The sequence below is a fragment of the Homo sapiens genome, chromosome 10, assembly GCF_000001405.40.
Source record: "Homo sapiens chromosome 10, GRCh38.p14 Primary Assembly".
NCBI classification, from domain to species: Eukaryota; Metazoa; Chordata; class Mammalia; order Primates; family Hominidae; genus Homo; species Homo sapiens.
The window spans coordinates 72928375-72955924 of record NC_000010.11 but is presented as its reverse complement, the minus strand read 5'-3'; the positions used below and the strand labels follow the sequence as shown (position 1 = coordinate 72955924).

At 42.3% G+C, this 27550-nt stretch overlaps 2 protein-coding genes and 1 long non-coding RNA gene across 7 annotated transcripts in view, besides 1 other annotated feature; 1 reads left to right on the top strand and 2 right to left on the bottom strand.

Annotated features, from left to right (window-relative positions):
• Positions 1–1118: 1118 nt before the first annotated feature.
• PLA2G12B (phospholipase A2 group XIIB) lies at positions 1119–21163 on the top strand. 3 transcript variants are annotated; one of them, NM_001318124.2, is made up of 4 exons: positions 1119–1450; positions 13185–13273; positions 14591–14756; positions 20190–21163. In NM_001318124.2, the coding sequence occupies exons 1-4, from the start codon at positions 1240–1242 to the stop codon at positions 20306–20308; spliced, it is 585 nt and encodes a 194-aa protein (NP_001305053.1). In that variant the 5' UTR covers positions 1119–1239; the 3' UTR covers positions 20309–21163. The 3 variants fall into 3 exon arrangements, with proteins under 3 accessions (NP_001305053.1, NP_115951.2, NP_001305054.1); NM_032562.5 differs by having other exon boundaries at positions 20187–21163; NM_001318125.2 differs by lacking the exon at positions 13185–13273 and having other exon boundaries at positions 20187–21163.
• LOC124902451 (uncharacterized) lies at positions 10217–13779 on the bottom strand. Of its 2 annotated transcripts, none has more exons than XR_007062191.1 (3): positions 13294–13779; positions 10341–10579; positions 10217–10256 (listed from the first exon to the last, which is right to left on the bottom strand). It is a non-coding gene; the product is annotated as an uncharacterized LOC124902451 (long non-coding RNA). The 2 variants fall into 2 exon arrangements; XR_007062192.1 differs by having other exon boundaries at positions 10223–10256; positions 10365–10579.
• Positions 20160–20454: a silencer, noted in NCBI's record as "tiled region #12879; K562 Repressive DNase matched - State 8:EnhW". NCBI's record gives its function as "represses a minimal TATA promoter and a strong SV40 promoter by Sharpr-MPRA in K562 cells {active_cell/tissue: K562}" and the evidence as "EXISTENCE:reporter gene assay evidence [ECO:0000049][PMID:27701403]".
• Positions 22889–27550, bottom strand: part of OIT3 (oncoprotein induced transcript 3) — a 39298-nt gene continuing 34636 nt past the window's right edge. For both annotated transcript variants that reach the window (NR_130125.2, NM_152635.3), the window contains 2 exons: positions 25288–25387; positions 22889–23571 (listed from right to left, as the gene is read on the bottom strand). Coding sequence is in view for 1 of the 2 variants with exons in the window: in NM_152635.3 (NP_689848.1) it covers positions 23401–23571; positions 25288–25387 (271 nt within the window). In the remaining variant the exon portion in view is untranslated. The remainder of the gene's footprint in view (positions 23572–25287; positions 25388–27550) is intronic.

Here is a 27550-nt window from a genome sequence, read left to right as displayed (position 1 = left end):
TTTGAGACAGAGTTTCGCTCTTGTCGCCCATGCTGGAGTGCAATGGCGTGCTCTCGGCTCACTGCAACCTCCGCCTCCTGGGTTCAAGTGATTCTCCTGCCTTAGCCTTCCTAGTAGCTGGGATTACAGGCGGCTGCTACCTTGCCTGGCTAATTTTTGTATTTTTAGTGGAGACGGGGTTTCGCTATGTTGGTCAGGCTGGCCTCAAACTCCTGACCTCAGGTGATCCAAACGCCTCGGCCTCCCAAAATGCTGGGATTACAGGCATGCACCACCATGCCCGGTCCTAGACTAGTGATTTTATAGATGGCATTTCTTCACACGACTAAAAGCAGTCTAAACTGAAAACGATGCCAAAACACTAGACTTCAGTCAACAGTCTTAAAAGCCTACACTCCCAAATAGACTATTTGATAAACCCTCTGACTTCTAAGAAACTCAAAGGAAAAACACCACCAGGAGAGCCGAGTGCCCCCAGAATTGTCCTTGGACCATCTGTAGATCTTGTCTTATGATCCACTTATGCTGAGTGTAAACAGAGATACTGCTGTAAATAGAAGCCAAAATGTCCCTGCACTCAGATGGCTACATCTGGGAGCTCTGCCAAATTAGAGGATTTATGCGTCAGAGCCAGGTGGGTTCCACAGCAGAAGCTGGGGTCTCAAATCTGAACTTCTGCTTAACACACACTTGGTACCTACTCTGACACTATCGTGACCCTTGGTAAAGTGACTATTAATTCCTACCGCTGGGGCTTTCCTGGGCCCTGTACACATCCTCCTGACTCTCCTTGGAGACTATGTAGGTAGCTGGCTGAGGGGTGTGGCTAGGACCTTCGGTCAAGCTCTTCTATCAAGAGGCTGGCCCTGAAGAGCCACACTTGTAACTGATCAACAGCTTAACAAGCTGGTCGGGGTAGAACTCCGAATCCTTCACCGTTCCTGCGTCTCAGAAGCTGGCTAACATCTCCCTCCCTCCAGGGTGGTAGAATCCACTTTGAAATGTTCTCTCTCCCTGGCCCTCCCACTCCCTAACCTTTGCCCTCTTTCTAATTGCCCTGATCTCATCCCAACCTCCATAGCTATGTTTAAAGTCCACCTCTGGGGAACAGACAGATTGAATGTTCCAGATAATCCCTTTCCCAGTCCTGCCTGACATCTGGGTAGGGGGTTTGTCCCTGGAATTCTGGGACACTGGCTGGGGTTTGAGGAGAGAAGCCAGTACCTACCTGGCTGCAGGATGAAGCTGGCCAGTGGCTTCTTGGTTTTGTGGCTCAGCCTTGGGGGTGGCCTGGCTCAGAGCGACACGAGCCCTGACACGGAGGAGTCCTATTCAGACTGGGGCCTTCGGCACCTCCGGGGAAGCTTTGAATCCGTCAATAGCTACTTCGATTCTTTTCTGGAGCTGCTGGGAGGGAAGAATGGAGTCTGTCAGTACAGGTGCCGATATGGTGAGTGTGCGGTTTCTCTTTCTGTAAAAACTGTTGCTGGTGGACCCATGGACAGCCCCAGAGAGGTCACGATCTGTCTTGCACTTTTTCCTGTTATCCACTTAGAGCTGCCAGATTTAGCAGATAAAAATGTAGGACACCCAGTGAAATGTGAAATCCAAATAAACAACAAATAAGTCATTAGTATAAGTATGTCCAGTGAAATATCTGGGACATACTTATCCTGACAAATTCTTCGTTGTTTATCTCAAACTCACATTTCACTGAGCTTCCTGTATTGTATCTGGGAAACCTTCCCTGGGCCATTTTAATGAGTTTGTTGTGAGGCAGTTCTTAGGAAAAAAGGGTACCTGGGGTGGGAAGAAGGAGGGTGGGTATGAGAGGCCTCTGTGAGGAGTTCCCAGGGATGAAAACTGAAGCCGAACATTCAGAGAAAAATCTGCCATGGGGCAAAACCACCTCCTCAGCTGCTCTGTGCTCAGCTTGGAAACAAATTCTCCCTTCCCCCTGCTGCAGTTCACACCGTCCTCCCAGCTCTCAGTCCCTGACTGGCATCAATTTGCTGGACTTTCTCAAGGGAGCTGTCCCTGCCTGCAGCCTCGGCAACGACAGGCATGCTGTGGAGAGGAAGGGTTCGTGGCTCACCAGGGATCCCGGGGCTGTCCCCTGGACTTGGCGCCAGATGCAGATTTGTGAGCTGGCAGGAGCACTTCCCCTACCTTGCCTGAATATGGCTGGGGGTACACAGATATAAGGTGCACACCTGGCTGCCGGCACAGAGCCCCTGGTCCCAGGGGCCCTGGAAGTTAATGTAAGGGGAGCAAAATGTGGAGCCCCAGGCCTTGAAGCTGGGTGGCATCGTGTAATTGCCAATGCGCATGAAAACGTTTTCCAAAGCATGCACAGTCTCAGGTCTCAGGTAGCATTAGTTTTATGGTTTAATTTATCAACTATCTCATCAAGGGATTAGAAATGAAAATGGTGAGTCAATTTAGCCTAACAGGAAAACACATTTGAGAAATATTTTCTCCAAATACTCAACAGAGAAAAAGTCAGCTTTGAAGAGATGCACAAAAAAACTACATACTTCCCGGACTCACCCTTAAGTCTCTCTATTCCTTTTTGAGTGGGGAAAATCGCTTCCTTATACACTAAGAGTGACTAGGAGGTAATGGTTAATCATTGCATCAGGACCCAAAGTTTTGCAGCATAGATGTTTTAACAATCTATGGTTAAAATCTATGTTTTAACCATCTATGTTTTAACCATCTATGCTGCAGCTTCTTTGTGAAAGTTTCACAGAGAAAAATGCCTGGTCTGTTAGGACCCACCTGGCCCTAAAACCATGTATTTGTCCAAGGCAGTTGGACCAACGCAGAGGCCTTGCCACTGGATTATGCTCACACTGTTTGCACGGATGGGACAGGGAAGGGGTTGACTCACTTCAGACATTGGAATCAACACAGGTGTTTTCCTTCCTAAAGGCAACACAGGACTAGTATCTGTAGTTCAGCAAATAGGCAACAGCAGGAATTTTTATTAGGAAATCAAGAACCAAATCCTATTCTTCCTTCTCTAGCAAAACAGCATTAAAAGACTTAAGCAAATTTTAGTTGCGGAGCCTCTGGCTGGGCAGGGTGGAAGCCAGCAGCAACTGGTGGGGGATGGGAAGAGTAAATAGAAGAGAAAGGCAAATAACTCTTCTCACTTTGTGTAAAACAACCTGCTCAAAGAGGGGCCTGAAAAACACTTAGAAAAATAGGCGGTTATGCCTCCTTACCTTGGAACCCAGTAGAGCCAAAAACCTGGCGGCTGTGCCCAAAAGAGTACAAAATACCTTCTCAAACTGATTGTGAATCGAGCAATCTTTTGAACAGACAACACCTAACAACGAGTCTGCTCTTTTGTAGTTTGCTTTGTGACACATCTCTCATGCACCGTGCTCGTCTTTTAAGTAGTGGTTCTCAAACTCACCTGTGAATTGAAGCCCCTGGAGGGCAGATTCAACCAGATCTCTGGGCCCCACCCCAGGTGTTTCTGATTAGTAGGAGATTCTGGGCTTAGGAGATCCTCCTGCCTCAGCCTCCCAGTTAGCTTGGGCTACAGGTGTGCGCCACCATGCCCAGATAATTTTGTAACTTTTTGTAGAGCAGGGAGTCTCACCATCTTGCCCAGGCTGGTCTCCAACTCCAGGGCTCAAGCAATCCTCCCAACTTGGCCTCCCAGATTGCTGGGATTATAGGCGTGAGCCACGGCACCAGCCAGATTTTACCTTTGATAGGTACTAACTACTATTTAAAACAGTGGGTTTCTAACTTGGGTACACTTCAGATCACCTGAGGGGCTTTAACAACACCTGGCACCAAATCAATTAAATCAAAATTTCTGTGGGTTGGCCCCAGACATCAGTATTTTAACATTTTTCCCAGGTGATTGCAAAGCACAGCCAAGGTAAAGGGGTGCCATTCTATGACGTCATTCTTAGAGAACTTCAGCCCACAGGTTAAATTATGCAGGCAGATAAAACTGTGTATGTATCCTGGTAGCCCATGATAGCATGTCAACATTGTTTTCCGTGCTTCTCATATCTAAAGTAATTTGTTCTCATGCCAACACACAAAATCTGTACTTGTCAAACAACTGGGCTATAAATATGACAAGATCCAGCGTGTGTCAATGGCATACCTAGCACAACTGTTATTAAGGAGTCTCTACCAGCTGGGTGCGGTGGCTCATGCCTGTAATCCCAGCACTTTGGGAGGCCAAGGCAGGCAGATCACGATGTCAGGAGATCGAGACCATCCTGGCTAACACGGTGAAACCCTGTCTCTATTAAAAATACAAAAAAAATTAGCCGGGTGTAGTGGCGGGTGCCAGTAGTTCCAGCTACTCGGGAGGCTGAGGCAGGAGAATGGTGTGAACCTGGGAGGCAGAGCTTGCAGTGAGCTGAGATCTCACCATTGCACTGCAGCCTGGGCAACAGAGCGAGACTCCACCTCAAAAAAAAAAAAAAAAAAAAAAAGGAGTCTGTGCCAATGCAAACAAGATTTCCTTGAGAATCGCTTCCAAAATATAGATAACCTTTTCCACCTCCAGAGATTCTGATGCAGTAGGTCTGTGGTGAGACCTTGGAAGTGCACTTTTAATGGGTAGTCTTTGAACCAGACTTTGAGAAATAAGCATAGTAATGGAAAAATCATGGGTTTGAATTTAGGAGAAAATATCCCATTGCTGGTGACCTTGGGTGAGTTATCTGACTCTCTCAACCTTAGTTTCCTCAAATATGTAAAAATAATGTTACTAATACCCACCTTGCAAAGGTGTTGTGAGAATTAAAGATAATATACATAAAGAATCAGTGGTATATATAAAGCATGGTAGGTACCAAACAAATTTTATAAACGTTATGAGAAAGACAGTCTAGTGAACAGGTTAATTGCATTCAGATTCTTCTAGCTCTCTTTCAACGTAAAAATGAAAAATCCCAGAAATCCCAGTGGCTGGACAACAGCCTCTCAGCTTCCGGAAGAAGTCCCTCGAGGGAACAACGACTGAAGAGTTATCTGCCTCATGAAGGTCTCTGGAGTTGGGTCAATGGAGTAGTTTCTATAATGATACTGTTCACGCTTTCACACTTTAATAAAAGATCCTGAAAATGAATTTCTTCCTGGATTTAGTTCCAAGAGTATCTTAAAAGTTTCTTTAAATATCTGTCTATTGTAATCCCAGCACTTTGGGAGGCTGAGGCCGGCGGATCATTTGAGGTCAGGAGTTTGAGACTAGCCTGGCCAGCATGGTGAAACCCCATCTGTACTAAAAATACAAAAATTAGCCGGGCGTGGTGGCGCGCCCTGTAATCCCAGCTACCTGGGAGGCTGAGGCAGGAGAATCACTTGAACCCTGGAGGAAGAGGTTGCAGTGAGCCGAGATCGTGCCATTGCACTCCAGCCTGGGCAACAGAGCGAGATTAAGTTTCAAAAATAAACAAATAAATAAATAAATAAAAATAAATATCAGTCTATTTTTTAAAGAGAATTTTTATCTGAAGTTTTACAGCAAAATTTTATAAACCTGTGAGTTTGTATCTTTTTCCAGGGAAATAACTCAAAGACTTCATCAGATTCTCCAGGGAATCCAGAGCCCAAAAAAAGAAAACAGCCACTGGCTTAGAGGCAAACAGATTATTCTTGTTTTTGGGCAACTGACCTCCTAGTCTGCTGGGGACTCAAGGAGGAGGGGAGATGCTCCTGGGATGTGAGACTTTCAGTACTAACACCGGGACGGGTACCAGGCAAACCAGGACAAGTTGCTCACCCTACTTTATGCAGTAACTTAATCTGTTTTAGTGACTGAAATACAGAGTTCTTCTCTACAGGAGAATTGCCTCTGTCCTGCTGTGTTCCATTGATGTATTAATCATGGTGCATCTGAGTGTTTCTGGGAGGAAGGAGGACATACCTTTCTTTCTTTTTTTTTTTTCTGGAATTTTGTTTTTCTTGAGACGGAGTCTCCCTCTGTCACCCAGGCTGGAGTGCAGTGGTACTATCTCGGCTCACTGCAACCTCCGCCTTCCAGGTTCAAATGATTCTCCTACCTCAGCCTCCTGGCGTAGCTGGGATTACAGGCATGCGCCACCACGCCTAGTTACTTTGTATTTTTAGTAGAGACGGGGGTTTCACCATGTTGGCCAGGCTGGTCTCGAACTCATGACCTCAGGTGATCCCCCTGCTGGGCCTCCTAAAGTGCTGGGATTACAGGCGTGAGCCACCGCGCCCGGCCTGGAAATTATTTTATTTTCTCATGTTTGAGACAGCTAGTTGGGGTTGTTGATGAAGCCATGCCTATAATAGTTTAGTAAATACTCTTATTATTCATTCGTTATCATTATCTGTTCTTTGTAACAATATAATATTAATAGAAAAATCATATCATTGAGTGGAAAATTGTAAAACAAATGACAAAGACATAATATGTATACTACAAAAAGGTTCTTACAAACTGTGAAGAAATAGGCAAAAGATCTAAAAGAAAAATGAGCAAAGAATGGAAATAGGCAATTAACAGAAAAGAAAAACTAAATGGTTTGCATACAAATAATATGGTCGAATTCAGTATTGATCAGGGGCTTACAAATTAAAGTAACAATGAGATACCACTTTTAGCCAACAGAGTGGCAAAATTTAAAAGAAGAGTGATAGGAACTATTGCTGTCCGAGATAGGAAAAAAGCACTCCCGTGAATTTCTTTTGGAAATATAAATGTTAATCCTTTTTTTAATGTTGATTTTTAAGTTCTGGGGTACATGTGCAGGATATGCAATTTGGTTACACAGGTAAATGTGTGCCACAGTGGTTTGCTGCAGATGTACCTTTTAATAAAGCATACTCACTCCCTCCTAGCACCTTTGGGGGAACCAGCTGGGTGGAGAGGATGGACGCACCCTCCCGGGAAGGCAAAACTCTTGCCCTGGGACACAAAGCCCTGAAAGTTTTTACTGCTGTTTCCAGTGACAGAGAGATAAAAGGGCGGGCCCGGGAGGCAGTGTCTACCGCTGGCAGGTAGAGCTCTTGGGATTCTTGGCTAACACTTCTCGATCTCCCTCCAGTTGGTCTTTTAAGACTTTTATGGTATTTCACTTTATTCAGAAGCTTTTAAGTTTTATAAGATCAAATCTGTCAGTCTCTTTCTTTATGGCTTCTGAATTTTATGTCTTGATTAGAAAATCATCCTCACATCAAGATTAGAACAGTATTCTGCTGTTTTTTCTGTGACAGCAGCCATAGCTAAATCATAATAGTGTGGCTGTGTTCCAATAAAACTTTTTTTATGAACACTAAAATTTGAATTTGAACAGGATCAAGTTGTCGGCCTCTCACTCCTATAAACAGCTCCAGCCAGAAAATAAAACATGTGTGGATATGATACATTATTAATGCCTAGACTTAAAACATCAACCATAAGCTACTGAAACAATAATTTGAGGATATGGTATCCTTGAATGATTTCTGTTTCTGCCTAGACTGAAACCATTACCTTTTGTCTTAGAACTTATATTTTCAGCTTCGTTTCTAAATAGAATTTCTGCAGTTAACATAAAACATTAAATAAAATAAAAATAACCATCATCAGCTGCAGGCCGGATAGGAATTCCATTCCGGTATCTTTCAAACTAGAATAGCAGAGTTTTATCTTCTGTGAGTTATCAAGGGCAAAAAGGCAGAGGGTAACCCAAGAAACCGAGCCAAGTCTGTGGCAAATGCCCTTTTCAGCAAAATTATTAAAAAGATGTTTCACTCTCTGGCTGGGCAAGGTGGCTCACACCTGTAACCCCAGCACTTTGGGAGGCCAAGGAGGGCAGCTCACTTGAGGTCAGGCGTTTGAGACCAGCCTGAACAACATGGTGAAACCCCGTCTCTACTAAAAACACAAAAAATTAGCCGGGCGTGGTGGCAGGCGCCTGTAATACCAGCTACTCAGGAGGCTGAGGCAGGAGAATGGCTTGAACACAGGAGGCGGAGGTTGTAGTGAGCTGAAACGCTATCTTGAGTGTGGGGCTACCATGATGAGACTAGTGTCCTCGTAAGAAGAGAAAGAGAAAGAAGAGAAGACAAGGCCGTCTGCAAGCCAGGAAGAAGGCCCTCACCAGACACAGAATGCACTGGCACCCTGATCTTGGAATTCCCAGCCTTCAGCACCGTGAGGAATAAATTTCTGCCGTGTAAGCCATCCAGTCTATGTTATTTTTGTTATAGCATCCAAACTGCCTGAGACAGGGAATGACTGCTGAATGGGCACAAGGTCTACCTTGGGGGTGATGAAAATGTTTTTGAGCTAGATAAAAGTGATGGTTGTACAACATTGTGAATGTATTTAATTGCATACTTTAAGGTGGTTAATTTTATGTTATCTGAATTTCACCTCAATAAGAAAAAGAAGGCTGGGTGCTGTGGCTCATGCCTATAATCTCAGCCCTTTGGGAGGCCGAGATGGATGGATAGCTTCAGTCTGGGAATTCAAGACTAGCTTGGGCAACATAGCCAAACCCCATCTCCACAAAAAAATACAAAAATTAGTCAGGTGCAGTGACAGCACTTGTAGTCCCAGCTACTAGGGAGGCTGAGGTGGGAGGCTTGCTTGGGCCTGGAGATCGAGGCTACAGTGTGCCAAGATCACAACACTGCATTCCTGCCTGGGTGACAGAGTGAGAGACCCTGTCTCAAAAAATAAAATAAAATAAGAAAATGAAAAGAAGCAGGGCACAGTGGCTCATGCCTGTAATTCTAGCAGCTCATTAAGCTGAGGTTGGAGAGCTGCTTGAGCCTAGGAGTTTAAGACCAGCCTGGGCAACATAGCAAGACCCCATCTCTATCAAAAAATTTACAAGTTAGCCATGCATGATGGCATGCACCTGCAGTCATAGCTAGTTGGACAGCTGAGATAGGAGGATCACTTGAACCTGGGAGTTTGAAGCTGCAGTGAGCTATGATTGTGCCACTGCACTGCACTCCAACCTGGGTGACAGAGTGAGACCCCATCTCTTAAAAAAAAAAAAGAAGATGAAAACAAATAAATAGTTACACCATCAAAAACGTGAAAAGACAACCCACAGAATGGCACAAAATATTTGCAGAATTGACAAGGCTTCCAAAATATATAAAGAACACTTACAACTCAACAGTAAAAAGATAAATAACTCAGTTATAGAGTGGGTAGAGGATTTAAGTAGACATTTTCCAAAAGAATTTATATGAATGGTAAATAACCACATAAAAAGATGCTCAACATAATCATTATAGAAATGCAAGTCAAAACTACTGTGAAACACCACCTCACTCCCACTAGGATGGCTACAATAAAAAAGACAGACAATAGCAAGTGTTAGTGAGGATGTGGAGAAATGGGAACCCTCACGCATTGCTGCTGGGAATGTGGTGCAGCCACTTTGGAAAACAGTGTGGCAATTCCTTAAAATGTTCAACAGGGTTACCATATGACCCAGCAATCCTATTCTTATGGAGAAATGAAACACATGTTCACACAAAAACCCGTCTACAAATATTAGTAGCAGTATTATTCATGATAGCTAAAAGGTGAAAACAACCCAAATGTCTATTAACCGATGAATGGGTAAAAAAATGTGGTATGTCTATACAATGGAAGGTTTTTCTGGCAATAAAAAGAACTTAAGTACTGATACATACTACAACATGTATGAAACCAGAAAACATTTTGCTAAGAGAAAGAAGCCAGACACAAAAGGCCACATATTGTATGATTTAATTCATATGAAGGAGTTGCCTAGGGCTGGGGGTAGGGAGATGGGAGAGGTGGTTAATGGGTACAGGGTTTCTTTTTGAGATTATAATGTTCCAAAATTAGATTATGGTGTTGACTGGACAACTCTGTGGATATGCCAAAACCATTGAATCGTACACATTAAATGAGTGAATGTATATGATATATGAATTATAGCTCAATAAAGCTGTCATAGAAAAAATATAACAAAGAGATTAAAATCATAATGGCAGGCCAGGAAAGGTGGCTCACGCCTGTAATCCCAGCACTTTGGGAAGCCAAGGTGGGTGGATCACTTGAGGCCAGGAGTTCGAGACCAGCCTGGCCAACATGGTGAAACCCCATCTCTACTAAAAATACAAAGATTAGCTGGGTGTGGTGGTGCGTGCCTGTAACCCCAGTTACTCAGGAGGCTGATGCAGGAGAATCACTTGAACTTGGGAGGCAGAGATTGCGGTGAGCCAAGATCGCACCACTGCACTCCAGCCTGGGCAACAGAGCGAGATTCCATCTGAAAAAAAAAAAACATCATAATGGCAACTGCAACAGTTATATATTATTGAGCAAAAAGGTACCTCGAAACTCAGCAGCTTACAATAGCAAAGATTATATCACACACTTGCTGAGGGTCAGGGATCCTGGAGTGGCTTTGCTGGGCGATTCTGGCTCAGTTTCTCATAAAGTTGAGGTCATGCTGCCCAGCTGATGCTGCCATCTCTGGAGATTCAGCTGGGGCTGGAGGATCTCTTGTTAAATTCATGTGGCTATTGGCAGGAGGTTTTAGTTCTTTGCCGCATGGGTCTTTCTATGGGACTGTTCATGACATAACTTCCCCTAGAGTGAACGGTGAGAGAGAGGGAGAGTAAGAGAGCCCAAGACAGAAATCATGGTCTTTTATAGCTTAATCTTAGGAGGAACACACCTCCACTTCTGCAGTATTCTCTGGGTCACACAGACCACTCCTGGGACTATATACAAGGAGGTGAATACCAGGAGGTGGGGATCATTGGAAGTCATCTTGGACCACAATCTTATAACCACATGTATCACAGCAACAAATACCCAAACTGTGGCAGAAACTGCTTAGTGTCCCCTAATATCCATTCTTCCCCTTTTCTACAGTATAAAGCCCCTCCTTCCACGTTTTAGCTGGGCTCATGGCTGCCCACTTCATTTCCTAGCCCACCTTGGCAACCAGATTTTGCCATTTGATTAAGGTCTGGCCAGAGGGAAGTATGAGGAAGTGACGTGTATAACATTCTGGAGTGTGTTTACTGAAGAGAGGGGCTGGACCCTTCCAACTCCTGCCATCCTGCTACAGGTAATATGGATGTGTTGGCTGAAATGCCATCTTAGACCATGAGAGCCAGGGCTACACTCCAGGGCTGGTAGAGCAGAAAGCTAGAAGCAGCCTGGGTTCCAGGAAAGTGCAGATTTACTATACCAGAGGCATGAGTCTTAGCTCTGGATTTTTATGAGATATTCTATCTTGTTTAAGGATCTGAATAATATAGGTATATAGAAAGTATAATATACAATATGGAGAAAATTGCAGTGCTCTGTTGAATGACATACAGAAAGACCTAAGTAAATAGAGAACTATACCGTGTCCATATTTGGGAAGACTGAGTATCCTAAGAAAGGCAGTTGTCTCCAAATCTATACATTCAATGGATTTTTCAATCAAATTCTTGGCCATTTTTCTTGTAGAATTTACTAAGTTGATTCTACAAATTCAAAAAAATTGCAAAATTCTTTGTGAGAGTAAAGGTCCAAGAATAATCAAGACAATTTTGCAGAATGATACGAAGTGAGGGCTTTAAAACATAAACTTAGTATCTAAAAATTAAAACAGAATGATGAGTGCAAAGAGGCTTCAACTGCACCTGAACCTGTACTTGAACTGTCACATTTAATTAAAAAAAATTTATAGCAAGTTTGGCAAATGTTAACATTTATTATGTTTGTGCATTTGGTACATGGCTGTTTGTTTCTCTGACTTTTCAACAGTTTTGAAATATTTCATGATATAAAATAATTAAAAATAAATACCTGGTAGGAGAAGAAGGAAGGAAGGAGAAAGAAAGAAAGAAGAAAAGCAGAAGAAGAAAAGGAGGAAGGAAGGAAAGAAGGTGGGAAGGAAGGAAGAAAGGAAGAAAGGAAGGAAGGAAGAAAGAAAAAGAAAGAAAGGAAGAAAGAAAAAGAAAGAAAGAAAAGAAAGAAAGAAACTGTCATATGCCTTACTCTAAGGATTAATTATTCTTAGCACATTTCCCCAGTCTTACACTAGGGTCTTGTATCTCCTAAAAAGAGGCAGATATGTGGTGAAGGAGCATAGGCTTTGGAGACAAACAGGAAATCTGACTTTATATCCTATTTCCCCCACTTTCTCTATGATGGTAGGCAAGTCATGCGACCTCTTAGCCCGAGTTTCTTATCTGGATAATGGGATAAAATACCCACTGCAGATGGCTGTCCTGAGGTCATCTCAGGTCAAGGTTATCTTTACCTGTGAGCACTGCCATTGATACAACTGATAAAGCTTCTCTCTACACATTTGAAAGATCTTAAAAAACAGAAATTCAAAGCTGTTCAGATCATTTCTGCTTAGTTCTATGAAAGAAATGCCTAAGATATCACATCAGGGTAATTTCTTTGCTCTTTACTCAATAATACTCTGTCTACGTTTATGGAATCTTGCTTGAATTTCCTGCAAGTTAAACCCTTTTGTGGTGCTGCTACAATTCGGATTCCTTAAGTGTACGATCAAGTTGTGTTCTGCTTGTTCTTTGAGTGGTGTGTGGTCTTGCAGTGAAGGAATGAGGAACCTTGAGTTTTAGTTGGGTTTTGCCATGGCCCTTATCTTCAATGTTATGCACTTAAAAAACATTAGAAATGTCAGTAAATAAGTGCTTATTGGGTGTGGTGGCTCACGCCTGTAATCCCAGCACTTTGGGAGGCCAAGGCGGGTGGATCACTTGAGGTCAGGAGTTCGAGACCAACCTAGCCAACATGGTGAAACCCTGTCTCTACTAAAAATACAAAAATTAGCTGGGCGTGGTGACACATGCCTGTAATCCCAGCTACTCGGGAGGCTGAGGCAGGAGAATTGCTTGAACCCAGGAGGTGGAGGTTGCAGTGAGCCAAGATCACACCACTGCACTCCAGCCTGGGCAACAGAGAGGGACCCTGTCTCAAAAAAAAAAAAAAAGTGCTCATGAAATTTTTTGAGATTAGGGGAAAAAGTCAAAGTGGTTTGAAAGTCATTATTCTTCTGTGACATCATCATCATCATCATCACCTGATTTGGATGTGAGGAACAGTGACTTTTAAAGAAAAAGTGAAATATGCTTTTAGAAAATTTTCATTTGATGAATGTTCCCAAATGCTTGATTTCTAAATATTTCTTCTTGCTTCTTTCCTTTCTTCCTCCTGCAAGGAAAGGCACCAATGCCCAGACCTGGCTACAAGCCCCAAGAGCCCAATGGCTGCGGCTCCTATTTCCTGGGTCTCAAGGTACCAGAAAGTGTATGTACTGCCAGCATTACCTTCTTGGTTGGTTGGTTTTGACTGAGAGCAATCCTAGAGTTATCCTTGATGGAAGTGATTATTTCTGGAAAAAAGTTGAAGAATACAATTAAGTATTTTAAATTGGATATGAGGGAGAGAATTTTTAAAGAAGATATCTGATTTCCTTTTCTCAGGGACAGCTGTCCCTCAGATAAGCCCTTGGTAGTGGATCAGAACTTTGAAATCACCACTGAAAATGTCAGCTGAGGCTTAGGGCATCATGACATAACTTAATTTGAGATAGATCTGACAGGTTTGACTTATTGAAATTAGTGAACCATTCCAGTGATGTGCTAGAGCCAGCTGGTGCTGGCCAGTGAGAGCTGATTGTTACATATTGTCATGACTTTTGCAAGCAGCTGACTTCATGTTAGTAGTGCCAAATTGGCTATGTTTGGAGAGCTGACATCATAGAAATCTGCACACACACACACACACACACACACACACACACACACACCCGACGCCCTGCTAATTTTTGTATTTTTAGTAGAAATGGGGTTTCACCATGTTGGCCAGAGTGGTCTCGAACTCCTGACCTCAAGTGATCCACCCACCTTGGCCTCCCAAAGTGCTGGGATTACAGTCGTGAGCCACCGTACCCAGACACGTGGCATTTTATGAACTTAGTGACACAGTTTATGCCACTACATTTACAGTTGTTTATAGGATGCTTAGTAATGATGGGTGTGTGTGAGATGTTGTGGTTTGACCACAGTCCTCTTGTGATCAGGAGCTGTGTGTTCTATACCCACTCTACTTTCCAACACACACACCCACACACACACACACACACGCACACCCTTAAAATAGTGCTGTCTGGGATGCTGGTGATCTTTTGATGAACGGAGGCTGAATTTTTTTTTATACTTCTTAGCCGTAGAATCCTTTGCTCACACAAAATCTCATATGGGACTGTTAAGTGTTAATTAAATTTAGAAGCCCTATGGTTCTGCTCTCTTGACTACCCTTCTGGTCTCTATTTTCATTACTGTAAGCTGCCTCTGAATTTTAAAATTACTAACATCTGAAAAAACAAAAGGTGAAAAATGGCCAGAATCACTTACTGAACTAATAACTAAGTAACAATGAACACTTGTAATCCTGTGACTGTTGGTATTCTACTGAGTCATTGGTGTTTCTGAATTGATCGGGATATGCAACAGAAATGTGAGAACCAGCTAGTTAATAACAAGGTGGGCAAGGTTGCCTAAGGTCCTTAGTCTAAACGTGGCATTTCTTCCCCTTCTTTTCCCTTCCTTCACTTTTCCCCAGATGGACTTGGGCATTCCAGCAATGACAAAGTGCTGCAACCAGCTGGATGTCTGTTATGACACTTGCGGTGCCAACAAATATCGCTGTGATGCAAAATTCCGATGGTGTCTCCACTCGATCTGCTCTGACCTTAAGCGGAGTCTGGGCTTTGTCTCCAAAGTGGAAGGTAGGTGTCTCAATGGCACGTACAGTGCACAGGGAGGTTTGTTCCTGTTTTCACACCGAGATATAGCCAGAACCCCTTGACTCGAAGAGATCATCAGAGCTCACTGAATATTCTTTATGGAACACTGTGGCTGAGCAAGAAATGGTGAAGGAAAGATTCTGGGCACTCCTTCACTCAAGTTCTTGCTGTCCTGCCCGCGAGCTGCTGGCACCACTCCTGAAGGTAAAAGACTACACCAAAGTCTTCCCAGAAAAATAAAAATCTATCATTTAAGGCTGGAGAAGGAATTGCCCAACTGGCTTGGATTATCCATTCCACTGTTAAATAATTTTCCATATCAGGAATTATTCCTTATAGGACCACTTGGTTTGGCTTAAGTTTTTTTTTTTTGTAATTTTGTTTTCAGTCAGGGTAGGAGTTCAAAAAACCTTTTCTGCATAAAGGTCTCTATATACTTGAGGATAATTATTTTATTTAAATTAAAAAAAATTTTTTTTGAGACAGAATCTCACTCTGTTGCCCAGGCTGGAGTGTAGTGGTGGGATCTCAGCTCACTACAACCTCTGCTTTCCGGGTTCAAGCGATTCCTGTGCCTCAGCCTCCCACGTAGCTGGGATTACAGGCACCCGCCGCCATGCCCAGCTGATTTTTGTATTTTTAGTAGAGATGGGGTTGCCCATGTTGCCCGCCTCAGCCTCCCAAAGTGCTGGGATTATAGGTGTGAGCCACCGCGCCCAGCAAGGATAGTTATTTTAAACAACTGCTTTGCTACCTAGATTCTAGCACCGACTCTATAATTTCTTTTTCCTAATTTACTTAGGAAAAGTTTTTACTGTCTCAGTTTCTGAAGCCAGGATATTGTATCCAGGTATGAATTAGCATTTTCTATTTTTAGATGGTAAGAGTTGAAATGTAGGCTGATAAAGAGCTGGCTCCACACCACAGAGAGTGTCTGCAGTAGAGAGAATTTTGGATCTTTTCATAGATCAATGTCTAGAGTGCAGTCTGGAGGTGAAGGTGTGAGGGCTTAGAAATGTGAATAATTCAGTGTGCCCTATGAAAGGGAGTATCATTCTATTCTGTTTCTGCAGAGGCTGAAAAAGTACCTGCTGCTAATCTAGGGTCAGGTCAAGTTACTTCCTGCAAGCAATGTCCTGTTGATTCATTCTCCCAAATATCTCTTTCATATCCCACTTGCCTGGTTACTGCAAATTAACCCAGTCTCTGTGTCCCATCTAATTGATAGTCACCATTGGGACCAGATATGCCACATGAATGTGATCATCTCAACCCCCTGTGTAAATCATTCAATAGATTCCTCCTCCTTACGGATGAAATCCAAACTCCTCAGTATGCCATACATGGCCCTTTCTGATTCAGCCCTAGCCTTCCTCTCCACCATTATCTTGGGCATTTCTGGTCTGTCTCTTGACTCCTGCTTCAGTGGGCTCAGAACTGTCCCTTCGTAGATTCTACAAAAAGAGTGTTTCCAACCTGGTGAATCAAAACACAGGTTCCTTTCTGTGAGATGAATCCACACATCACAAAGCATTTTCAGATAGCTTGTTTCTAGTTTTTATCACGGGATATTAGATGTTTTTCTTATAGGCCTCAATGGGCTCAGAAACGTCCCTTTGTAGATTCTACAAAAAGAGTGTTTCCAACCCGGTGAATCAAAACACAGGTTCCATTCTGTGAGGTGAATCCTCAAAAAGCATTTTCAAAGATCGCTTATTTCTCATTTTTATCACAGAATATTTGATTTTTCCTTATGGGCCTCAGTAGGCTCAGAAATGTCCCTTCGTAGATTCTACACAAAGTGTTTCCAACCTGGTGAATCAAACTCCTTGGGTTGATGGCCCATTCCTTTCTGCCCCTGTGTGAAACGCCCTAATCATTCATTTTTGTTGTTGTTGAAACAGATTTATTAAGCTACAATTCACACATGATACAATTCACCCACTTAAATGCTTTTAAATATGTTCACAGAGTTATGCAGTCAATCCCACAGTCAATTTTAGAACATATTCATCACCCTGAAAAGGAGCCCCAGGGCCATTAACGGTCTCTCCCCAAACTCCCCCTGCCCAGCTTGAGGAAACCATGAATCTACTTTCTACCTCTAGAACTGCCTATTCTGGACATTGTCAAAAATCAATTGACCATAAAGGTTAGGATTTATTTCTAGATGCGCAATTCTATTCCACTGATCTATGTCAGGACCATGCTGCCTGTTACTGTCGTTATGCAGTAAATTTTGAAATCAAGATGTGTTCTTAAACTGTGTACTTTTCTGTCAAGACTATTTTGGATATTCTGGATCCCTCACATTTCCATATGAATTTTAGGAACTGCTTGTCAATTTCTCCAAGGAATGGCAGCTAGAATTTTGAGAGGGTTATGGTTGAATCTATAGATCAATTTGAGAATATTGCCATCTTAACAAGATTATATTTATATCAATGTCCTTTCCATTTATTTAGGTCTTCTTTAATTTATTTCAACAATGTGTTTATAGTTTTCACAGTACAAATCTTGGACTTCTGTTAAATTTATTCCTAAGTATTTTATTCTTTTTAATGTTATTGAAATGTAATTGTATTTAAATTTTATTTTCAGATTATTTATTAATAATGTATAGAAATTCATTTGATTTTTGTACATTGATCTTATATCCTGCAACCCAGCTGAAATAACTCCTTAGTTCTAATATTTTTTTTCATGGATTCCATAGGCTTTTTTGTATATAAGATAATGCCATCTGCATATCATCTTCCTTTCCAATTTGGATTTTTTAAATTTTTTCTCTTGCCTAATTGCCCTGGCTAGAGCTTCCAACACAACATTGAATAGAAGTATTGCGAGTGGACATTTTTGTCTTGTTCCTGATCTTAGAGTAAAAGCATTTCATCTTTCACCATTGAGAATGATTGTTAGCTATGACTGTCATTAGACGACCTTTATTAGGTTGTGGGAGTTCTCCTCTTTTCCCAGTTGGTTGAATGTTTTCTTTTAATTTTTCTTTCTTTCTTTCTTTCTTTTTTTTTTTTTTTCTGAGATGGAGTTTCACTCTTACACCCAGGCTGGAGTGAAGTGGTGTGATCTTGGCTCACTGCAACCTCCACACCCCGGGTTCAAGCGATTCTCCTGCCTTGGCCTCCTGAGTAGCTGGGATTACAGGTGCCCACCACCATGCCCAGCTAATTTTTGTATTTTTAGTAGAGACGGGGTTTCGCCATGTTGTCAGGCTGGTCTGGAACTCCTGCCTCAGCCTCCCAAAGTGCTAGGATTACAGGCGTGAGCCACCACACCTGGCCAAGTGTTTTTATCGTGAAAAAGTGTTGGATGTTTTCAAATGCTTTTTCTGCATCTATTGAGATGATCATGTGGTATTTGTTCTATATCCTATTGATGTAGTGTATCATATTAATTGATTTTAGTATGATTTAGCATTCTTAGGCTAAATCCCACTTAGTCATGATGTAAACCTTTTTATATGTTACTGGATTCAGTTTACTACTATTTTGTTGAGGATTTTGCATCCATATTCATAAGAGATACTAGTCTATAGATTGTTATTTTTGTGATGTCTTTGGTTTTGGTATGAGAGTAATATTGACCTCATAAAATGAATTGGGCAGTGATCCCTTCTCTCCTAATTTTTTAAAAAGCTTAGAAAGGATTGATATTAATTCTTTAAATGTTTGGTAAAATTCCCCAGTGAAGCCAAGTAGAATTGGATTTCTTTGGGGAAGTTTTTAATTACTAAATCACGAGCTTGGGTTAGTAATTGTATTTATATACACTAGTAATCTATTCATATTTTCTATTCTTCTTGAGTCAGTTTCAGCAGTTCACGTCTTTCTACGAATTTGTCCATTCCATCCAAGTTATCAACATTTTTTGGCATGTAGGTATTCATAGTATTCCCTTATAATCCTTTTTATTTTTATTTTTTTGAGATGGAGTCTCGCTCTGTCGCCCAGGCTGGAGTGCAGTGGTGTGATCTCGGCTCACTGCAAGCTCTGCCTCCGGGTTCACGCCATTCTCCTGCCTCAGCCTCCTGAGTAGCTGGGACTACAGGCGCCCGCCACCACGCCTGGCTAATTTTTTGTATTTTTAGTAGAGACAAGGTTTCACCGTGTTAGCCAGGATGGTCTTGTTAGCCAGGAGGTCTCCTGACCTCGTGATCTGCCTGCTTCGGCCTCCCAAAGTGCTGGGATTACAGGCGTAAGCCACCGTGCCCGGCCCTAATCCTTTTTATTTCTATAAGATTGTTAGTGACATTTCTCTCTCATTCCTTAATTTGGTAATTTGAGTCCTCTCTTTTTTTCTTGGTTAGTCTAGCTAAAAGTTTGTTAACATTTTTTATCTTTTCAATGAACCAATTTAAAAAAATTGATATATCATTCACATACCGTAAAATTTACCCTTTAAAAGTATACACTTCAGTGGTTTTTGTATATTCAGAGTTGTACAACCATCACCACAATCTAATTCCAGAACATTTTCATTAGTCCCAAAAGAAACCCTGTAGCCATTAGCAGTCACTACTCATTACCTCCCCTACCCCACCCCAGCCCTAGACAACCACTATTTTACTCTCTGTATGGATTGCCTATTCTGGAAATTTCATATGAATGGAATCATACAATATGTGGCCTTTTGTGTCTGGCTTCTTGTGCTTAGCATAATGTTTTCAAGATTCATCCATGTTTTGGTATGCATCAGTACTTCATTTTCCTGACCATTCTTGAAGTTTAAACTTAGATATCTTACTTACTCTAAGATACCTCTCCTAATAACCCTTGCTGCAAAGGGATAGAGACCCTTTCTGTGGGCTTCCATACCACCTTGAGGTTATTTTCATCATGAGGTAGTGTAGCTATCTGTTTACCTGTCCACCTCTTTATCCAAACTGTGGAGTACTTAAGTTGAGGATGCCTTTTGTCTCTGTATCTTTGGCTCCTAAGACAGTGGCTAACCAACATATCCAAGCCATGCAAATGTTTTTCCATCAATGAATGGTTGTTCATCCAATACTTGAACAGTGAAAGCTATAGGCGAGATTCGGTGTGTTCTGGGTGGTATGGCCATAGATGGGAAAGCTATGGGAAACATAGTTGTTCATGTGAGGGAGTCTTCTGCAAAAAATATTCTCCATGGAGTGAGCATGGTGGTGTGGGGGGTTCTGGTTGCTCACCATTGTTTTGACCAAGGGCCCACATGCGAGGGCACCTCCAGGTGTCTTCTGCTTTACTGGATTGGATGGGAGCTTTTCTGAGAACATTCTCTGAAATGGATGCTCTTCCTTTGAATTCTGTATTTGGATTACTGTCTCTACTTTCCTCTGGGTATCATGTCATGCCTGGAAATACTCTTCAAAATTACTCAGGGTTAACCTTTCTGTCCCTCTTCATCTTTTTCAAGCAGCCTGTGATTCCCTGGTTGACACTGTGTTCAACACCGTGTGGACCTTGGGCTGCCGCCCCTTTATGAATAGTCAGCGGGCAGCTTGCATCTGTGCAGAGGAGGAGAAGGAAGAGTTATGAGGAAGAAGTGATTCCTTCCTGGTTTTGAGTGACACCACAGCTGTCAGCCTTCAAGATGTCAAGTCTTCGAGTCAGCGTGACTCATTCGTTCTTCCAACAGTTTGGACACCACAAAGCAGGAGAAAGGGAACATTTTTCTACAGCTGGAAAGTGAGTCCTATCCTTTGAGGAAATTTGAAAAAAGACATGGAGTGGTTTGAAAGCTACTCTTCATTTAAGACTGCTCTCCCCAACCAAGACACATTTGCCTGGAAATTCAGTTCTTAGCTTAAAGACTAAAATGCAAGCAAACCCTGCAATTCCTGGACCTGATAGTTATATTCATGAGTGAAATTGTGGGGAGTCCAGCCATTTGGGAGGCAATGACTTTCTGCTGGCCCATGTTTCAGTTGCCAGTAAGCTTCTCACATTTAATAAAGTGTACTTTTTAGAACATTTGGAAAGAGATGAATGAATTCCATTATCACCAATGTGCTTCCATTTCACTTAGAAGAGACCAAAACTGAACCTGGTAAGTTCCACCAATGACCACAGTTATTCCCACTGATGCTAAACAGAGAAAAACAGGTGGGCAGGCTCAGAGGCTTACCTGATTAAGGCCAACGGAGGGGAAGGTCAGATGGAATTAGGTCTCTGAGGATTCATTTTTCCCTCCGGTGACCTACCCCATTGGTATTCCCAGTTACTAAATGGTGTTAGAGTCATGCTAAGATCTGAGATGTACTTGCTAAGAGTTACTGATGGAGCTAGCTAGGAAAAGTCCCTGCAGCCTGTCGGGAGTGAGAGACAAGTGGCCATTCCCTAACTTGCGGGTCTCAAGCCTAACTATGGATTAGAATCACCTGAGGATCCTTTAAAACAAACCAGTAAATATGCACTGGTATTTTATAAATGTTTTCCAGGTGATTCTGCTGCACAGAAGGGCTGGGGGCCACTAATCTAGAGCAGGAATCGGCCCAGTCCCGTGGGCCAAGCCTAGCCCAAAGCCTGTTTTGTTGTTGTTGCTGTTGTTGTTTGTTTGTTTTTTTGAGACAGAGTCTCACTCTGTCGCCCAGGCTGGAGTGCAGTGGCCATATCTCGGCTCACTGTACCCTCTGCCTCCTGGGTTCAAGCGATTCTCCTGCCTCAGCCTCCCGAGTAGCTGGGATTACAGGTGCCCACCACCGCGCCCGGCTAATTTTTGTTTTTTTAGTAGAGACGGGGTTTCACCATGTTGGCCAGGCTGGTCTCAAACTCCTGGCCTCAAATAATCTGACCACCTCGGCCTCCCAAAGTGCTGGGATTACAGGTGTGAGCCACCACACCTGGCTCAAAGCCTGGTTTTGAATCCTTTTTTGGAATAACCATGCTCACATTTGTTTACATATTCTCTGTGGCTCTCCTTGCACTACAGCTGCAAAGTTGAGTAGCTGCGACAAACACTGCAGGGCCCAGAAAGCCTAATACATTTACCAGTTGGCTTGTTACAGAAAAAGTTGCTGACTTCTATCTAAATCTTTTTCTCCTTTCCCTTACTTTTGTTAATTTTACTGATTCTACTAAGAACTATTAATTGTAGCAATTTTTTTTAATTTTTTGGGATTTGGGGGGTTTTTTGAAACAAGGTCTCACTCTGTCACCCTGGCTGGAGCACTATCATGGCTCACTGCAGCCTCGACCTCCTGAACTCAAGCAATCCTCCCACCTCAGCTCCCTGAGTAGCTGGAACCACAGTGGCACACCACCATGCCCGGCTAATTTAAAACAATTTTTTTGTAGAGATGAGGTCTCACTATGTTGCCTAGGCTAGTCTTGAGCTCCTGGGCTCAAGGGATTCTCCCACCTTGGCCTCTGAAGTGCTGGGATTTCGGGCATGAGCCACCAAGTCCAGACTATAGCAACTTTTAAAAACTAAAAGCAGAAAAACTTTTCTGATCTTATGTAAAGGCCATAAAATTAATTGGCATATAAAGAAATTGGAGTTAACTGCAGATAATATTTATCTTTGTGGTTTATATTTATTTCAATAAAACTTCTTATTATTAAGTACCTACAAAACAGAATATGGCAGAATTATATACTTTTTTCTATTGTCTTATCAGCCTGAGGGCACAGAATACCAAATCACAGGGAACATGGTACCAAACTTTAATTCTGTTACAGCTCATTGAAGCACTTAAATACATGTTGATGAATTTATTAATATTTGTTAGGTGAAAATATTTCACTTAAGGCAATATATTAGAAGTATCAAAAGATGGCCGGGTGCAGTGGCTCACGCCTGTAATCCCAGCACTTTGGGAGGCTGAAGCGGGTGGATCACCTGAGACCAAGAGTTCGAGCCAGTCTGGCCAACATGGAGAAACCCTGTCTCTACTAAAAACACAAAAATTCGCTGGGTGTGGTGGTGCATGCCTGTAGTCCCAGCTACTCAAAAGGCTGAGGCAGAAGAATTGCTTGAACCCAGGAGGCAGAGGTTACAGTGAGCTGAGATTGCGCCACTGCACTTCAGCCTGGGCGACAGAGCGAGACGCCATCTCAGAAAAAAAAAAAGAGAAAAAGAAAAAAAAGAAAATAGTATGCAACAGAAAAACCAAATACTACTTTTAAAATTATATACTGTTTTATTGATACACTTCCAAATTCCCTATAATTAGTCTGCATTTGAATTGAAATTTCAAGGTATAACTATAATTTACATATTTAAGGAGTCATTGGGTATTTAAGTCATAATTTCAGTAACTGTTTAATTTTTCTAGGGTTTGTAACTTGAAATATTATACCCAGCTTCTGATTTTGTGGTCTGATTGCACCATACACGAGGTATTTAAGTGTAGGAAAGAAATGAGGGAAATGGGGTGAGTGTCTTTCTGGGTGGACAGTTTAGTTTTCAACCCTAGAAAGATGAAACCCCACCCAGGCCACATTGTTCAGCAGTGCTGTGACCTGTGCCCACTGAATGGACCAGAATCAGAGTGAGTTGGTGCTGGGAGTCTGAACTCACAGTGTGAAGTCTGAACCCAGCTGTTGGCAGATGTTCTTAGAGGGCGGTGGGGGGAGAAGCTCCAAAGAGCAGAGCCGTCCAATGCAGGGACTCGAGGTATGGCTACGAACTAGTCCTCCCAGTCGATGCGGATCGGGCCGCCTGTTAGCGTCTGGCCCTGTAGACCGGCTGAGTCCTCTCCTCCTGCCCCACGACGCATTCGCCGGTGGCAACCCTGGGCACAGCGGGAACGCTCGTCCAACACTCCACAGACAAGAACCCGGCAGTGCAGAAACACTTCCTGAAGAGATGATCACGACTGTTAATAAAAACAATAACTGCTGCCACTTGTGGGGCACTTACAAGACACAATACTAAATGTTCCTAAACATTAAGTCATGTAATCTTAACAAGGACATCCACAAGTAGAGTTTATCATCCCCATTTTACAGATAAGGAAACAGAGAGGTTAAGGAACTTGCCCAAATGTACACATTTAATAAAAAATGTGGCAAAGTTTGCATTTAAGTCACATGAGTGATTAAAAAAACCCACATTCATAACTCCTGCATGGAGCTGGAACAGAAGAGACCTTTGTGAAGCAACATCTACTAACTTGAGCATCTTCCTTCTTCACACCAAGGTCTGGGGATAGCATTGGCTCCCATGCACTTGTGCTGTCAAATAACCAGTGTTTTCTGCAAGCACCTTTCTGTAGGTAACTGCCTGAGCTTCCTGCCTGATTGAGGGCAATCAGGATCAGCCATCATTGTTAGCAGTTGTTCTGTAACCATGGTATAGCTGGGATGGACATGCATATACTTACAAGCAGTGTGGAAAAGAATGTTGGCCTCTTCAACTTCCTTTTGTTTAAATGTTTCAACAAGTACACTCTAACAACAATGATAAAAAATCTTCCAGCTTATCTCACTACATTAAATGTAATATATTTAATATGCCTGTAAATTGTTATGACAACAGTTTTTATGTCTGCTTTTCCCATATTTATCATTTTAATAACTCTTAATATTGCATTAAATTGATATACTGTGGCCCTTAGCCCTGCTTGTTTGGGGCTTTTTCTTTTACCCCCTTGTAACAATGCTCTACAAACACTTCCAATACACCTTGTCTGTTTTGGCTTAAAAATTTGTTTTGTTTGTTTTTAGAGACAGGGTCTCACTCTCTCACCCATGCTGGAGTGCAGTGGCCTGATCATAGCTCACTGTAACCTTGAACTCTGGGCTCAAGTGACCTGCCTCAGCTGCCTAAGTAAGCTAGGACTACAGGTGTGTGCCACTATGCCCAGCTAATTTTAAAATTTTTTGTAGAGTAGAGGTCTTGCTATGTTGCCCAGGCTGGTCTCAAACTCCTGGCTTCAGGCAATTCTCCTGCCTCTGTTTTGTTTTGTTTTTAAGAAACTGTCAGAATTGGAATTTTTAGATAAAAGAATATGACGATTTTATGATTATTATTACAGATTATCAGACAATGTTCCAGCAAATGTACTAATTTACACTGTCACTGTATACTTCTCCCTATAACCTTGTAAGTGTTGTATTTTATAATTTTCATAAATTTAATATGTATAAAATGGTGTCTTATAATTGTTTTCATCAGCACTTAAGTACTATTTTCAGTGAACATTTCACTATTTGTCTTTTCTGTGAATTTCCTGTCCATATCCCTTGCCATTTGACCAATCACCACACTGGCTTTTCAACCATAACTGCCCACAAAGATTTTAAATTAAATTATGATCCTATAGTATTTTCTTTGAACAGCACAGTTATTTTGGCAGGTGGTATGAGGGGAACAGCACAGTTATTTTGGCAGGCAGGGCGGGTGTGACATGCATGAAAGGGTTAAGCTTCTCGATGGCCAGTTTCTCTGTTTTTCTCTTGAGCCCATGCAGATCCCACCAGTGGGCTCTTGGAATGTCAACACACTGGGACACCAAAAAAAAAAAAAAAAAGGCTCAGGTTCAGGGGTTATAAATTAAAGATGTTCAACTCACCTTGTGGTCTTTGCCCACAAACTTGAAGACAGGGACCTGGAAGTGCTTTGCTAGGTGATCCCGGGATGTGTACTGCTTTACCGAGTCATCTGAAACACAGCTGAAAGTAGGGCAGATAGCACATAAGACTTGATTGTTTCAACAGAGGTGGAAAAACAATCTAACCCAACATTTTGGCCCAAGGAGAGCCAAAGGGGTGGAGGAGGCTGGACTGTACTCAAGCTTTTTGGGAATGAAAGAAAAATTAAATTTTTCCCTGTGAAGGCCTCTTCAGACCTAGCCTTATTTACTAATAGCATCTGTCCCATTTATCATTTGCTGTACCCACAAACTGGGCACCAGGGCTTCCTGTTAAGTTAATGCGTTTAAGTGTTGGCAACAGCAACACCATTTATTTCAGATACCTTTTGCTAGTAAGGCTGTCTTTCCATTTGCAATATATTGCAGGAATTCTGCCTCTATGTACCTTAGTATTGATTTGAGAAGGCTTTTCTTTAACAAAATTTATTAACTATGTATTGGACACCTAATAGCAACTGACTACTGAAGGGGATACAAAAGTTAGGGAACTGCAGTGCATGCATCAAAGTGACATAAATATCCAAGTTTCTTAGATAATAACTGGTTCTATTGGGTAAAAGTCATGCACCTCCAAATTGTTTTAATTTCTCTTTTCCCAAATTTAATGTTAAATTGCAGTTTGATAGGGTTTTGGGGTTTTAATCTCAGGTCTACTGCTTAAAGCAAAACACCTAGGTTCACTTCAGGGTTAGCTGGGGGAAAAGAAGCACTCCTGGCTGGGCGAGGTGGCTCACGCCTGTAATCCCAGCACTCTGGCAGGCTGAGGCAGGAGGATTGCTTGAACTAAGGAGTTCGAGACCAGCCTGGCCAACATGGTGAAAACCCGTCTCTATTAATAATACAAAAAGTTAGCCAGGCGTCATGGTGCCTGCCTGTAGTCCCAGCTACTCGGCAGGTTGAGGTGGCAGGATTGCTTGAGCCCCAGAGTTCGAGATTAGCCTGGGCAACATAGCAAGACCTTGTCTCTAAAAAAAAAAAAAAAGTCAAGTGTGGTGGTATGCCTCTGTAATCCCAGCTACTCAGGAGGCTGAGGCACGATGATAATTGCTTGAACCTGGGAGGCAGAGGCTGCAGTGAGCCATATTTGCCCCAGCTGAGGCCAAAGTTTTGGATATTCATGAAACTTCTTATAGGCCAAGAATCACCCTCATATTATTTTTCCCATTCTAGATTCTAGAGGAACTTTTTTTTTTTTTCTGGACATAGTTGCCTTTTAGTGGGTACCTAATAGTTCCTGTCTTCTGGGCCAGGAAAAAAGTGGAGGTCAGATATTAAAGCCGATTAAACTGGGTACTTGCTCCACATGCACAGGCCACTTCTTTTTCTTTTCTTTTCTTCTTTTTTTTTGTTTTGTTTTGAGACAGGGTCTCACTGTTGCCCAGGCTGGAGTGCAGTGGCACAATCACAGCTCACTGCAGCTTCGACCTCCTAAACTCAAGCAATTCTCCTGCCTCAGCCCCTCAGTGGGATTATAGGTGTGTGCCACCATGCCCGGCTAATTTTCATTTTTTGTAGAGATGGGATCTCACTATGTTGCCCAGGCTGGTCTTGAACTCAAGACCACTCAAGCGATCCTTCCGCCTCGGCCTCCCAAAGTGCTGAGATTACAGGTATGAGCCATGACAGTGCCCAGCCAGACTGCTTTCTAGTTCCTTGCTAACTGCTGTTTTGGTGCACCTAAAAAAATCCAAAAAATTATTTTAAAATAAGGCATCTTGACTAGTGTTACTACCAGCACCTCATTCCACTGAACTGAAGGGGATCTAAACATAATGTGGTTTCTGTTATTTCTTGTATTTATTTACTCATTTTTATTTTCCTGAGGTAAAATTCATTTATACCCTCTTCTGATTATATTCTATAATAAACATCCATGGCATACCTAATCTATGCAAGACACCCTGCTGGTTGCTGCAGAGGACATAAAGATGAATAATATGGTCTCTGACGTCAAGGAGTTTACAGTCCAGTATCTTAAGATAATAGTAAGGCTTGATATTAAAATAGTACTTTTAATCTAAATACCTGAGCATTTTCAATTTATCTTTATCTCAAAATAACTGTTATTTTTCTTTAAAAGAAAAAATGAAGCAGAAGGGGTTATTACAAGGTAACACATTGCAGAACAGAAACCAGGACAAATGTTGGCTCTTGATTTGGGGTTTGCTGTGACTAGACAATG